This window comes from Homo sapiens, chromosome 16 (assembly GCF_000001405.40).
Source record: "Homo sapiens chromosome 16, GRCh38.p14 Primary Assembly".
NCBI lineage: Eukaryota > Metazoa > Chordata > Mammalia > Primates > Hominidae > Homo > Homo sapiens.
In genome coordinates this window covers 74,393,340-74,408,219 of record NC_000016.10, presented here as the reverse complement: position 1 = coordinate 74,408,219, position 14,880 = coordinate 74,393,340, and the positions used below count along the sequence as shown (strand labels likewise).

At 52.9% G+C, this 14,880-nt stretch overlaps 1 long non-coding RNA gene across 1 annotated transcript, besides 3 other annotated features; it reads left to right on the top strand.

Annotated features, from left to right (window-relative positions):
* Positions 96-996: an enhancer, noted in NCBI's record as "H3K27ac-H3K4me1 hESC enhancer chr16:74441122-74442022 (GRCh37/hg19 assembly coordinates)". NCBI's record gives its function as "activates a minimal SCP1, AML or CMV promoter by ChIP-STARR-seq in naive and primed H9 embryonic stem cells {active_cell/tissue: H9 hESC(naive and primed)}" and the evidence as "EXISTENCE:reporter gene assay evidence [ECO:0000049][PMID:30033119]".
* LOC105376772 (uncharacterized) lies at positions 1,001-1,931 on the top strand. Its single transcript, NR_135170.1, has 2 exons — positions 1,001-1,052; positions 1,521-1,931. It is a non-coding gene; the product is annotated as an uncharacterized LOC105376772 (long non-coding RNA).
* Positions 7,638-8,137: an enhancer, noted in NCBI's record as "H3K4me1 hESC enhancer chr16:74433981-74434480 (GRCh37/hg19 assembly coordinates)". NCBI's record gives its function as "activates a minimal SCP1, AML or CMV promoter by ChIP-STARR-seq in primed H9 embryonic stem cells {active_cell/tissue: H9 hESC(primed)}" and the evidence as "EXISTENCE:reporter gene assay evidence [ECO:0000049][PMID:30033119]".
* Positions 9,966-10,807: an enhancer, noted in NCBI's record as "H3K27ac-H3K4me1 hESC enhancer chr16:74431311-74432152 (GRCh37/hg19 assembly coordinates)". NCBI's record gives its function as "activates a minimal SCP1, AML or CMV promoter by ChIP-STARR-seq in primed H9 embryonic stem cells {active_cell/tissue: H9 hESC(primed)}" and the evidence as "EXISTENCE:reporter gene assay evidence [ECO:0000049][PMID:30033119]".

Genomic DNA, 14,880 nt, shown 5'->3' with positions numbered 1-14,880 from the left:
AAGGCAGAGAGATTGAGTAACTTGCATAAGATCATACAGCTGGGAGTCAAACCCAGTGAGTCTGGCTGTCATTTATTTATTTTTTTTCTTTTCTTTTCTTTTTTTTTTTGAGACGGAGTCTCGCTCTGTCGCCCAGGCTGGAGTGCAGTGGCACGATCTCGGCTCACTGCAAGCTCCGCCTCCCAGGTTCACGCCATTGTCCTGCCTCAGCCTCCCGAGTAGCTGGGACTACAGACGCCCGCCACCACGCCCGGCTAATTTGTTTTTTGTATTTTTAGTAGAGACGGGGTTTCACCGTGTTACCCAGGATGGTATCGATCTCCCGACCTCGTGATCCACCCGCCTCGGCCTCCCAAAGTGCTGGGATGACAGGCGTGAGCCACCGCGCCCGGCCCTATTTTTTTCTTTTTTGAGACAGAGTCTCGCTTTGTCGTACAGGCTGGAGTGCAGGGGTGCAACTGGGGTTCACTGCAGCCTCGAACTCCCAGGCTCAAGCGATCCTCCTGCCTCAGCCACCCAAGTAGCTGGAACCACAGGTCCGCACCACCACGCCCCGCTATTTTTTGTGTTTTTTGTAGGGACGGGGTTGCACCATGTTGCTCAGGCTGGTCTCGAACTCCCGTGCTCAAGCGATCCGCCATCCTGGGCCTCCCAAAGTGCTGGGGTTACAGGCATGCGGCCCCGCGCCGGCCCAGTCTTTCCCTCTCCCACTGCTTCCCAGGGCTTCGCCTGTCTAACCAGGCGCGGGCAGTTGTCCTGTGTCCTGGCTCAGCGCGGACCTACGCGGGGTGGTCACACAGATGCCCCCAGCTCTCTCTACCTCCCGCGAAGGCGCTGAGCCCCCTGATCCCTGCCCGGGCACTGGCGCAAGGTCGCCTGCGAGCGCCAGGCCTTCCTGCCCGGTGGGAGACGGGAGGGCCCGCTCTCCGGCTCGGTCTGGTTCCCGGGTCAGCCAGCAGCCGCGCCTCTTCCTCCCAGACCCGGGACCCGCCCCTTGGCCGGGGCCGCGGCCGCAGCGCCCGGAGGGGCCGCCCTGCGCGTGCCCGCGGGAGGTGGGTGACCCGGGAGCGCGCTGCCCGAGGCCGGGGGGCGGTGGGGACAGCACAGGCGGGGCGGCCGAACCGAGACCTTCCCACCCCGCCCCACGCCTGGTTGGGGACCTGACGCGCCGTCGTGAGTGGGGCGGGTGCAGGTGTCCCTGGGGGCCGGGGGCAGACACTGGTGCGGGACGACCTGCTCCCGAGGGGGTCCGCAGGCCACACCCAGAGAAACTGGGGCGCCTCCAGTCACCGCCGCGGTCCGCCCCGCCCGAGGCTTTGACCCCCTGAATCAGCGTCGGGGCAGGGATCCGCGTGGGGTGGAAGAGGCTGGGAAACTGGGGAGTCCCGGGCCTCCTCTGGAGCCGCCCGCCCTTGGCTGGCTGGTCCTTCTCTTCCTCGGCTCCCGCCGGGCTGGGCCCTGGGCCGCCCTCACTCCCTCCCCTCTGCAGCCTCCCTTGCGTTTGTCATTCACTCTGCCAGGCTCTCCTTCTGCCTCCGCATGCCCAACGATCCGGAGAAAAACACGGACCATGACATCAAAAGGCCTTGGCCAAGGAATCGTGATTATTGTGATACAAGATTCTGCACCTCAAAGGGGATCCCTGTAGTGAGTTTTGGAAAACGTACAAAGCCTGACTTACAATATGCCTGTTATCTGTGGCGTTTCATCTGGGGAACTTACTTTTCCTTGATAGGGTAAACTATTCTCATCCAGAGTATGTCCCTCAGTCTGTAAAAGTCCATGGTGCCCTACATCTATTAGGGGAGTGAGGAAGGGCAGTGGGCATTGGATCTGCTTCTTTGAAAGCCCCCACCTGTGTTTAGCTTCTGTTAGAGGCCTTTGAACCAGAGCAACTCCATCTTGAGTAGGCGCTGGGTAAAATCAGGCTGAGACCTACTGGGCTGTGTTCCCAGGTGGTGGAGGCATTCTAAGTCACAGGATGAGATGAGAGGCCGGCACAAGCAGTAAAGAAGCCGCGGCCAAAACCCACCAAAACCAAGATGGTGATGCGAATGACCTCTGGTCGTCCTCACTGCTACACTCCCACCAGCGCCAAGACAGCTTACAAATGCCATGGCAACGCCAGAATGTTACCCTATATGGTCTAAAAAGGGGAGGCATGAATAATCCACCCCTTCTTTAGCATATAATCAATAAATAACCATAAAAATGAGCAACCAGCAGCCCTCGGGGCTGCTCTATGGAGTAGCCATTGTTTTATTTCTTTACTTTTTTTTTTTTTTTGAGAGGGAGTCTTGCTCTTGCTCAGGCTGGAGTGCAGTGGCGTGATCTCGGCTCACTGCAATCTCCGTCTCCTGGGTTCAAGCGATTCTCCTGCCTCAGCTTTCGAGTGGCTGGGACTACAGGTGCCCCCACCATGCCGGCTTTTTTTTTTTTTGTACTTTTAATAGAGACGGGGTTTCACCACGATGGCCAGGGTGGTCTCGAACTCCTGTCCTCAGATGATCTGCCTGCCTTGGCCTCCCAAAGTGCTGGGATTATATGCGTGAGCCACCGCGCCCAGCCCTATTCCTTTACTTTTTTTTTTTGAGGTGGAGTCTCACACCTGGCCTCCAATATGTTTATTCATATTGCTGAGGCAGGGGATTGCTTGAGCCCAAGAGTTTGAGGTTGCAGTGAACCATGATCATAAGCTGTATTTCAGCGTGAGTGAGAGATTGAGACCTTGTCTCACAAAATAAAAGTTAAAAAGCCCTTATCTGGAGGTGAGAAAGCCAAATACAAAGGTCTTCTCAGTTGGTTCCCAGTCTTCCCAGTCCAGCAGCCTCAGCATCACCAGGGAGCTGGTTAGGCAAATTCTCGGCGGCCCCAACCTACTGAATTGGAGACCCTGAAGATGGGGCTATCTGAATTTTAACAAGGCCTCCAGGTTTGCATGCTCAAGATTGAGAACCACTGGCAAAAGCAAACAATTTGAATCTGAAGTCAGCCCACCTGCATTTGAATACAGGCCCTGCCACTTAATAACTGTGATTTAGAGCAAGTTAGTTACTTAACAGCTAGGTTGACCAATTGTCCGAGTTTGCCTGGCACTATCCTGATTTCAGCACTGAAAGTACTACATTATCGCTGTGGCTCACGCCTATAATCCCAGCTTCTCAAGCTGTCCCTGTGGAATCCTCAATATCGGTACATTCATCCCTATCTAGCATCCCCTTCCTCCCTCACCCATCCTGCACCCTCAGAATTCATTCTCAGATCACCTTCCCAGATTTTTGCCAATATCAATTAAAAAAATTTTTTAGCCAACCATGTACTGTGAGTAAGCCAATATCAATTAGCAAAATCTTTAGTTTCTTTTGGTGATTCAGTATCTTCCCCCTGGAGTTTTTTGATGATTCAGTACCCTCCTAGATTTGGCCCCTGGGGCCTGCGGGGATGTGACTTGTCATTTAATTCTGGAGAAAATGAGGGGTAGGGCTTATAAGGAGACTCCTTCGGGGCAGGGTCATTACAGGGTGTGTTACATAGGGAAATGCTAGCTGCTGGCTAGCTCTCGCTCTTGAAAGGCTCTTCCTCCCTCAACTGAAATGGGGAAGGGGGAACCCCGGCCGACTGAGGTCCTGACATCTTTAGCACATGGCTTCTTAGGTCACCCAGGGCATCCAGGTTACCAGCTTGGGAAACAGGAGATGTAGGTTGGAGGAAGAGGCTACAGCCCACCCTGGAAATAACTGCCATCCGTCCCACCCATATGGTTAGGCTTTGTGTCCCCACCCAGATCTCATCTCGAATTACAATCCCCACGGGTTGAGGGATGGACCAGGTGGAGGTACTTGCATCATGGGGGCAGTTTCCCCCATGCTGTGCTCGTGACAGTGAGTGAGTTCTCACGAGATCTGATGGTTTTAAAGCGTGGCAGTTCCTCTTTCTCGTGCTTACATCCTCGTAACTATCCTGTGGAGAAGGTGTCTGCTTTCCCCTACCTCCATGGTTGTAAGTTTCCTGAAGCCTCCCCAGCCGTGTGGAACTGTGAGTCAATTAAACTTCTTTATAAGTTACCCAGTCTCGGTGTTTGCTTTTTTGAGATGGAGATTTGCTCTTGTTGCCCAGGTTGGAGTGCAATGGCGTGATCTCGGCTCTTTGCAACCTCTGCCTCTCGGGTTGAAGCTATTCTCCTGCCTCAGCCTCCCAAGTAGCTGGGATTACAGGCGTGAACCACCACACCCAGCTAGTTTTGTATTTTTAGTAGAGAGGGTGTTTCATTATGTTGGTCAGGCTGGTCTCGTGCTCCAAGCCTCAGGTGATCCGCCCACCTCGGCCTCCCAAAGTGCTGGGATTACAGGCATGAGCCACCGCACCCAACCTTGGATGTTTCTTTATAGCAGTGTAGAAACAGACTCAGCCGTCGCTGCAGGCCATACCTCAGCTACATAGAACACCTAACTGCCCGCAAGGGAGTTCCTGCTACTAGGATCTTCAGTGACAAAGAGGAAGCTTTGGCTGGCAAGGGTGGTGGGGAGGGGAGGGGCTAGGTACCTAAGGCTTCCCTATCTTTCCACACAGCCTAATTTTCATAGCCTCTGGTCTCCACATTTCACTCTTTCCCAAATAAAGACCTTTTAAGGTGTGGGTCCCCTTGGTCATTCTGTAACCATTGGATCAAGTTTTCAGTTTTTTCTGCTCTCTCAGCTGCAAAATAACACATTCGAGTTTTGGTTTTTTTTTTTTTTTTTGGAGACAAAGTCTCACTCTGTCGCCCAGGCTGGAGTGCAGTGGTGTGATCTCAGCTCACTGTAACCTCCGCCTCCTGGATATAAGCGATTCTCCTGCCTCAGCCTCCCAAGTACCTGGGATTACAGGCACCTGCCACCACACCTGGCTAATTTCTGTATTTTTAGTAGAGACGGGGTTTTGCCATTTTGGCCAGGCACACTCGGGTTTTCTAACCATACCTTGAGCCAAGAATTTGGATTCTGAGCTTGTCTTTTCATTTAAGCTATGTGGCGCTGTTAACATGACCGCCCTGCCCAGCAGATCTTGACTTCAGTGTAATCTTTATTCTCTTCTATGGCAGGAGCCATTAGGTCCCCCAAAGCCTTGCCTTTGATGGATACTTTGTTCCCGGGGACAATGGGATTAGCTGTCTTGCCAGGGCGTGCCATGGGGCTGCTGGTGTCCTGTCCCTTAATACCAGCTGGATTTTCACTGTCCTCTGGCCACTTTCCAGCCTTCAATTGCTCCTGTTTCCTTTGGGGCTTCTTGCTCTGTCCAGTCCTGGTCCTATTTTTGTGAGAATCAAGGTTCTTAGTTTTAACCAACAGAAACTAATTCTGGCAACTCTAAGCAGAAAGGGACTTGGTCAGAGGTCCTGGCTAGTTCCCAGGAGCTCAAAAGGGTCAGAAAATCAAATCAGGAAGAGGACATTGGGCAAAGCTGGCCAGGTGAAGACCCCACAGCCTCTGCTGGCACAGAAGCTACAATTGGCACCACCGAAGTGGGACAGAAGCTGCCACCTGTGCAAGCTAGATGTAGTCGCTGCCGCTGTCACCATCAATTTTTGAGATGATGCTTCTTCCTGCCTGCCACTTTAATTCAAAGCGAAGGCCAGGTGCAGTGGCTCATGCCTGTAATGCCAGCACTTTGGGAGGCCAAGGCAAGAGGATCGCTTGAGGACGGGAGTTTGAGATCAGCCTGGGCAACAGGGTGAGACCCCGTCTAGCCAAAAAATGCAAAAAAAAATAGCTGGGCAGAAAGAAAATGGCTCATGCCTGTAATCCCAGCACTTCAGGAGGCCGAGGTGGGTGGATCACCTGAGGTCAGAAGTTTGAGATTAGCCTGGCCAACACGGTGAAACACTGTCTCTACTAAAAATACAAAAAATTAGTCAGGTGTGGTGGCACACGCCTGTAATCCCAGCTACTCAGGAGACTGAGGTAGGAGAATCGCTTGAACCCGGGAGGTGGAGGTTGTAGTGAGCTGAGATCTCACCATTGCACTCCCCGCTGGGTGACAGAGCAAGACTAGTCTCAAAAAAAAAAAAATAGGGGCCAAGTCGATGGAAGGACAAGAATAAAGAAACTGAGGCCGGGTATGGTGGCTCACGCCTGTAATTCCAGCACTTTGGGAGTCCGAGGTGGGTGGATCACCTGAGGTCGGGAGTTCGAGACCAGCCTGACCAACACGGAGAAACCCTGTCTCTACTAAAAATACAAAAATTAGCCAGGCATGGTTGCGCATGCCTGTAATCCCAGCTATTGGCGAGGCTGAGGCATGAGAATCACTTAAACCTGGGAGGCGGAGGTTGTGGTGAGCTGAGATCACGCCATTGCACTCTAGCCTGGGCAACAAGAGCGGAACTGTGGCTCAAAAAAAAATAAATAAATAAAAAATAGAGACATTGGGCCAGGCACAGTGGCTCGTGCCTGTAATCCCAGCTCTTTGGAAGAATGAGGTAGGAGGATTGCTTGAGCCCAGGAGTCCGAGGGTGCAGTGATCACGTCATTAAACTCCCACCTGGGTGACAGAGTGAGGAGCTGTCTCCCCACCCCCATCCCCCAAAAAAAGAAGGTAACTGGGCAAAGAAGTTATTTTTAGTAGAGACTGGCTTTCATCATATTGGCCAGGCTGGTCTTGAATTCCTGACCTCAGGTGATCCACCCACCTCGGCCTCCCAAAGCGCTGGGATTACAGGTGTGAGCCATGGTGCCCAACCTCCTCTTCTCATTTAATCCTCAAAATCATCTCACAAAGCAGGTGCTATTAATACCCGCGTCTTACAGAACAGTTAACAGATGTGTCCAGGGCCGCATGGAGAACACCTTGAGAGAGCAATGAGATCTCGCTCTCCTGCCTCATGACCGATACACGGTTTCAAGAAGTTAGATGACATCACAGATACTCAGGGCACCCAGCTCCAGGCCTTACTGCCTTTGCACAAGGCCGCTCTCTACTAGCTTCACCCCGCATGGAATGCAATGGTCAATGAGGCCCTGGTCAGAACATGGGACTGACAAAGCCAGCACTTGTAGGCTGAGTCTCAGATCACGTGGCTTGCTTGTTTTGTTTGTTTGTTTTTGGGAGATGGAGTTTCACTCGTGCTGCCCAGGCTGGAGTGCAATAGCACCGTCTCAGCTCACTGCAACCTCCGCCTCCTTGTTCAAGCGATTCTCCTGTCTCAGCCTCCCGAGTAGCTGGGACTACAGGTGCACGCCACCATGCCTGGCTAGTTTTTGTATTTTTAGTAGAGATGGGGTTTCATCACATTGGTCGGGCTGGTTTTGACCTCCTGACCTCAGGTGATCCACCCACCTTGGCCTCCCAAAGTGCTGGGATTACAGGCGTGAGCCACTGTGCCCGGCTGGCTTTTTTTTTTTTTTTTTTTTTTTTTTTTTTGAGGAGTCGCACTCTGAAATCCAAGCTGGAGTGCAATGATGTGATCTCCCACCATGCTAGTTGTGTTTGTTGTTGTTGTTTTTTCTTTAGTAGAGATGGAGTTTCTCCATGTTGGTGAGGCTGGTCTTGAACTCCTGACCTCAGGTGATCCACCCACCTCGGCCTCCCAAAGTGCTAGGATTACAGGTGTGAGTCACCATGCCTGGCCTCAATTTCTTGAAAGACAAAGAAAAAAGACAAAAAGAAAAAGAGAAAGAAAGAAAAAGAAAATGAAAAAAGAAAAAGAGAACAAGAAAAAGAGAAAGAAAGCTCCATGGGTTTAAAGGCAAGAGTCAGCTTCAAGGAGGGCTGGGAAGTCAGGTGATGCCACCCCTGTGCTTCCCGCGGCCAGATCACCTGGTGGAGGTACGGTTGGTTTTGGGCCCCTCTCTCAGCACTTGCTACCAGAGAGGACAGCTCTACACCAGAGAGTGAGGGTGGGAACCTGCTCACTGCTGTCTGCTCAGGGCTGGGCATGAGGCAGGTGCTCAGTAGGGGTCTGGAGAATAAATGAATGAACCATCACGGGGCCAAGCACCTGGAAGCGGGCTGGAGATGCTTGCTCTGGACTCCTGGCTCAGGAGTGGACTCCCCAGGTGGACTTCCTCCTGCATCGCCACAGCTGAGTGCATGGAGCACAGGTAGGGCAGCTAATGAGCAGGGTCATCATGAATGACAGCAGATGACACCGGGACAGGGGAGGTCAGTAGCCAGATGGGAAGAAAGCAGAATGAAACAGGTCGGCCGGGTGCAGTGGCTCATGCCTGTAATCCCAGCATTTCGGGAGGCCGAGGTAGGCGGATCACGAGGTCAGGAGATCGAGACCATCCTGGCTAACACAGTGAAACCCTGTCTCTACTAAAAATACAAAAAATTAGCCGGACGTGGAGGCAGGTGCCTGTAGTCCCAGCTACTCGGGAGGCTGAGGCAGGAGAATGGCGTGAATCTGGGAGGTGGAGCTTGCAGTGAGCCGAGATCGCACCACTACACTCCAGCCTGGGCGACAGAGCGAGACAGTCTCAAAAAAAAAAAAAAAAAAAAGTTCTGGCGGAGAGTGTGGGTGAGCACTAGGGTACTGGAAAGATTCCATGCCTGGGAATCGTGCGTGGATTGATTACATCCCCACTTCTGGCAAAATGCTTCATGGCCTTGTGCAAGTTAACTTTGTCTCCCTGGGCCTCTGTTTACTCATCTGAGAAACGGGGTAAAGACATTTGCTCTTCTTAGGTCACAGGGCTCCTGTACACGATGTGAAAGGACTTTGGAAAGTATCCTCCAGTGTGCAAATTTCTCTGAGAAGTGCTGCGGCTGTTTATCCTTAGACTGGAATGAGAAGGGGGAGATGTGACTTTTGTGACTTTCAGGGTGGGCCAGGTGTTATAGGTGACAGGACAATCTCAGGCTGGTAGCAGTGGCTCATGCCTGTAATCCCAGCACTTTGGGAGGCCGAGGTGGGTGGATCACTTGAGGTCAGGAGTTTGAGACCAGCCTGGATAACATGGTTAAACTCCATCTCTACTAAAAATACAAAAATTAGCCAGGTTGGGGTGGTGTGTGCCCGGAGTCCCAGCTACTCAGGAAGGTGAGGCAGGAGAATCCTTGAACACGGGAGGCGGAGGCTGCAGTGAGCCAAGATTGCTCCGCTGCACTCCAGCCTCAGCAACAGAGTGAAACTCCATCTCAAAAAAACAAAGACAATCTCAGATGTGCAGTTCACACCCTGGGGCTCTCCGTGGGATCAGGCTGAGGGTCGCATTTAACTGAAATCTTCAGGAGTTCAGCGTTGGGGTAGATATTCCCTGAGAAGCAGCTGAGAGGTAAAGCTTCCTCCGGGAAGTACTCACTTGCTCCTTGTTGATTTCATGGGGTCTCAGGTTTCAGGAGGAAAGTAAAGATGAAAAGCCCTTGCTCTGGCATCTTGGAGGACTTCTGGGTGAGAGCCAGGAAGGGGAAGGCGTTTGGACTCATTGCCCTCCCAGGCCTGGAGTCTGATTTTCCTGCTCTGTCTGGTTTTGGAGGTGGAGGCTGCGAAGCCGAAGCAGCGCTGGTCCTGCCAGCTCCTCCCAGCTCCTCCCCTGCCCTCTGCTTCCCTGGCCTTGCACAGGGACAAGGAGCTCCAAAGAGCGGCTCTGTCCTGTCTCAGCCTGGGAGGGAAGAGGGAGGTGGCATAGATGGTTCCACAAACAGTTCAGTACGTGCCAAAGGAGGGCCTGGGAAGCCCCAGGTCAGGAGAGGGTGCCTGCCCTTCCCGTGAAGGCCAGGGCTGAGCTGCTTCCTGCCAGCATCCAGTTTTGCTCAGAGCACCCAGAACGCCGTCTTGGAGGAACGGGGGCAGGCGCTGCCGCAGAACCCGGGGGCTGTGTCTCCTGCCTCCAGGGCTGGCCGCAGCTGCAAAAACCAGCTGGCAGGAGGAGGACTCAGGAAGACTCTCCCTGTGTTGGCCCTGCAGCCCCATGTCCCCTTCTCTGCTTCTTGGGAACAGGAGGCCTGTGTCTGCCTGTCCTGAGCATCTCAAAAGGAAAAGCTATTCTAGGGATGATGAGAGGGAATCGGGACCTGAGGCACTTGGAGGAACATTTGCTGAGCTCCCTGTGCAACAGCCCATTCCAAGGCCAAGGTTGCAAAGGTGGCTTAGATGCTGTCCCTAAATGGCCATCGAGGTTCCAAGCCTGGCAGGAAGGGCTCGAGTGGTGGGGCCACAGCAGAGACAAGGCCAAGCAGCCTGATTCTTGGGAGTGGAGGTTAATGAGCAGCGTTTGCACTTGGCTTTCTATAGGGTCAGGCTGTAGCGCAACATCCTGAGGTGCGTGGCTGCCCACAGGTGCTCAGCCAGCCCAGCCTCTGCCAAGGCAGACAGAGCCTGGGCTGGGAAGCGGGGGATCCCACTGCTTGGGGAGTCCCCTTTTCCTCTGCATAGTGGGGATGCCAGGAGCAGTGAACAAGCTCAGCAAAGAGTTCTCCAGCCCGACCTGAGGTTTCCTTCCTCCTGACTTTGTCACCTCACTGGGAGAATATACAGCTCTGTCTGAAACAAGTTTCCTGCGGGGCGCCCTGTGCAGGGGAAGCTCGGGCAGCCCAACCTACCAGATGGAAGGGAAAGATAGAGACTGTGAGGTTCTTCTGGGCCTGTCTACAGCCTCTTCTACCTCGCTGCCCTTTGTTCAGAGTAAAGGATGCAGTTCCCAAGACATAAGCACCGCGGGCTTCAGAGTATGAAGGATCCTTCCAGGTCAGCCACTTTGGGCAACTGGTGAGCAAGGCGGGTGTGCAGGGCTGGCTACATCATTTGTGGGGCCTGGTACAGAATGATAATGTGGGGCCCTTATTCAGAAGTTACTAAGAATTTTTTTTTTTTTTTTGAGATGGAGTCTCACTCTGTTACCCCGGCGGGAGTGCAGTGGCACGATCTTGGCTCACTGCAACCTCTGCCTCCCGGGTTCAAGTGATTCTCCTGCCTCAGCCTCCCGAGTAGGTGGGATTCCAGGTGCCCGCCACCACGTCTGGGTAATTTTTGTATTTTTAGTAGAGACAGGGTTTCTCCACCTGGCTGGTCTCGAACTCCTGACCTCAGGTGATCTACCTGCCTCGACCTCCCAAAGTGGTAGGATTACAGGCATGTGCTAAAAATTTCAAGATGAGGACAGCAGAGCATAAATGAAGCGCAGGACCCTTGCAAGTGGGCCCGTCTGGGGTGTGACTGCATTTGGGGAGAAGGGGATGGGGTCCTGCCTGTCCCTGCAGTCACAGCATACCACGAGTCCTGGGGCAGAGGAGCCTGGATTCAGGCCCTTGGTGCCCAGTGGTCCTGGCTCACAGACACCCCTCGTTCAGCAGCCAGGGGGTTCCTCACTGTGTCCCAGATGTCACTCTAAAGATTGCTTCAGAGGCTCCCTCCCCAATCGTTGGAGGGACTCTGCCAGTTCCAATGACCAGCCAGCTGCCTTCAGGTCACAAAAGAATCTGGGGCTGGTCTGAGACCAGGTGTACCCCCAGACCCCATCTCTGTCCAGATCATGAGAGGGAGTCCAGGGTCACCCGCCTCCCACAGTTGGGCTTCACTGCACAGCTGGAACTCAGCCAGGCCTGTTCCGGGAAGCAGGGCTGTGAGTGTGAGCCGTCCAGGTCCTTGGCATTTTGAACAAAGAATTGAACAAAATCCACAAAGTAGCATAGCAATGAGACATGGGAAGGAAGCAGTGAAAGCAGGAATTTATGAAACAGATAAAGCACTCTGCAGGGCGGGAGTGGGCCTAAGCAAGCGGCTCAAGAGCCTGGTTACAAAGTTTCCTAGGTGTTTTGTTAGTTTTTGTATTTTATTTTTTTTATTATTATTATTTTTGAGAAGTCTCTTACCCAGGCTGGAGCGCAGTGGCATGATCTTGGCTCACTGCAATCTCCGCCTCCTGAGTTCAAGTGATTCTCTGGCCTCAGCCTCCCAAGTAGCTGGGATTACAGGTAAGCACCCACCATGCCCGGCTAATTTTCATATTTTTTGTAGAGATGGGGTTTCACCATGTTGGACAGGCTGGTCTTGAACTCCTGACCTCGTTAATCGGCCCACCTCGGCCTCCCAAAGTGCTGGGATTACAGGCACGAGCCATGGCACCCAGGAAGTACTGCTTTTGAGGTTCTATTGGCTACCCCTTATCTGGATGAAGGATTTGGTCTGTGGCTCATAAAAGGCTAATGTGAACTGGCGCCCTATGCAGATGAAGGGATGACCCATGCTTGGCCTGCGGCTAATCCAGGACACTCTCCCTTCCCATCTGAGATGTGGTGGAGACAGGAGGGTGATAGAGTGTCTCTATATTAAACACACACACACACACACACACACACACACACACACAAAGGCAGCCAGACTATGCACTAGGAACTGCCCTGGGAATCCCGTTGTGTTCTCATAACAATCCCATTTCACAGATGAAGAAACCAAGGCACAGAAATATTCAGTAACGTGTCCAGGTGCGGTGGCTCACGCCTGTAATCCCAGTACTTCGGGAGGCTGAGGCAGGCAGATCACGAGGTCAGGAGTTCGAGACCATCCTGGCCAACATGGTGAAACCCCGTCTCTACTAAAAATACAAAAATTAGCTGGGCGTGGTGACAGGTGCCTGTAATTCTAGCTACTCAGGAAGCTGAGGCAGAATTGCTTGAACCCGGGAGGCGGAGGTTGCAGTGAGCGGAGATCACACCACTGCACTCCAGCCTGGGTGACAGAGCAAAACTCTGTCTGAGAAAAAAAAAAAAAAGAAAAAAGAAATACTAAGTAACTTGTCTGAGGCCACTTAGTTACCAAGACGTGGGAGCTGGGACTTGAACCCAGGCAGTCTGGCTGGATTCATGCCTGCAGCCTCTGCACTCCTCCTACTTCCTGTGTGAGAAGCGCCTGTTCTGTGGAAGGTTGTGGGCTGAGATCTTTCCATGACTTCCACTCATTTACCCCCAAGGCTGTTCTTAAAGACGGGCATGACAGTTAGGCCCATTTTACAGATGGGGCCCTGAGGCTCACAAGGGCACGCCACTCACCCATTTCCACAAAGCTATAGCTCGTTAGCAGAGGGCAGAATTCGGCCGCCTCTCCCCTAGCTCGAAGGCTGTGATTGACACAGGTTTTTTTTGTTGTTGTTGTTGCTGTTGTTTGTTCCTTTTTCTTTTTTTTTTTGAGACAGGGTCTTGCTCTGTCATCCCGGCTGGAGTGCAGTGGTGCGATCTCAGCTCACTGCAAACTCTGCCTCCAAGATGCAAATGATTCTCGTGCCTCAGCCTCCCAAGTAGCTGGAATTACAGGTGTGCACTACCATGCCCAGCTGTTTTTTGTAGAGATGGGGTTAGTAGAGATTTGTTTAATAGAGACGGGGTTTCACCATGGTCTCTACTAAACCCTGTCTCTACTAAAAATACAAAAATTACCCAGGCGTGGTGGCACATGCCTGTAGTCCCAGCTACTCAAGAAGCTGAGGCAGGAGAATCACTCGAACCTGGGAGGTGGAGGTGGCAGTGACCCAAAATCATGCACTCTGGCCTGGGGTCTCGCTTTTGCCCAGGTTAGAGTGCAGTGGCACAATCATAGTGGCTCACTGCAGCCTCAAACTCCTGGGCTGAAGGGAATCCTCCCACCTCAGCCTCCCAAGTAGCTAGGACTATAGGCATGTGCCATCATGGCGAGTTAATTTTTTGTGTGTTTTTATTTTCTCGAGACAGAGTCTTGCTCTGTTGCTCAGGCTGGACTGCAATGGCGTGATCTTGGCTCACCGCAACCTCCACCTCCTGGGTTCAAGTGATTCTCATGCCTCAGCCTCCCGAGTAGCTGGGATTACAGGTGCGTGCCAGCATGCCTGGCTAATTTTGTATTTTTAGTATACACAGGGTTTCGCCATGTTGGTCAGGCTGCTCTCGAACTCCTGACCTCGTGATCCACCTGCCTCGGCCTCTCAAAGTGTTGGGATTACAGGCAGGAGCCACTGAGCCTGGCCTGGGGAGCTAATTTTTAAATTTGTTATAGAGACAGGAGAGACAAGAGTCTCTCTTATGTTGCCCAGGCTGGTCTCGACCCCCTGGCCTCAAGTGATCCTCCCACCTCAGCCTCCCAAAGTGCTGGGATTACAGATGGGTGTCACCGCAGCTGGCCTCTGAGGAGGGTTTCATTATAAACCTGCCCTGAAGGGAGGGAATCCAATTTTACGAGAGGGTGTAGCCTGGTGAGGCCTGGATGACCTCCGCAGGCAGGGGCTTGTGCCTGGGCTGAGGCCTAAGGGACAATGGGCAGACATGAAGTTGCCCCAGGCAGAGGGTACAGTGTGGGCAAAGTCAGGAAGTGGCAGGGCTTGGATCACTCCAGGAAGAGAGAGGAGTCACGTGTCACAGGAGCTCGAGACCCAGAGAGAGAGTGAGGCAGGCAGGCAGGCAGGCAGGGACCAAGCTTGGGCACAGCCAGGAAGGCAGGACAGGGCATGGTGGGGCCAATGGAATCATTACCCAAGACGGGCATTTTCAGGGAAACAGCTTAGATAAGGCCAGGCGTACAGTAGCTCCCACCTGTAATCCCAGCATTTGGGGAGGCTGAGGTAGGAGGACTGCTTGAGCCTGGGAGTTCGAGACCAGCCTAGGCAACATAGTGAGACCCCATATCCACAAAAAATTTAAAAAAGGAGTTTGTGTTCCTGTAGTAGCATACTTGGGAGGTTGAGGTGGCAGTATCACTTGAGCCCGGGAGTTCAAGGCTAAAGTGAGCTGATTGAGCCATTGCACTCCAGCCTGAGCGACAGAGAGATACGCTGTCTCAAAGGAAATACAAATTAAAAAACCAGCCGGGCATGCTGGCGTGTGCCTGTAGTCTCAGCTACTTGGGACACTGAAGTGGGAGGATTGCTTGAGCCCAGGAGTTCAAGGCTGCCGTGAGCTATGATTGTGCCTCTGCACTCCAGCCTGGGCGACAGAGAA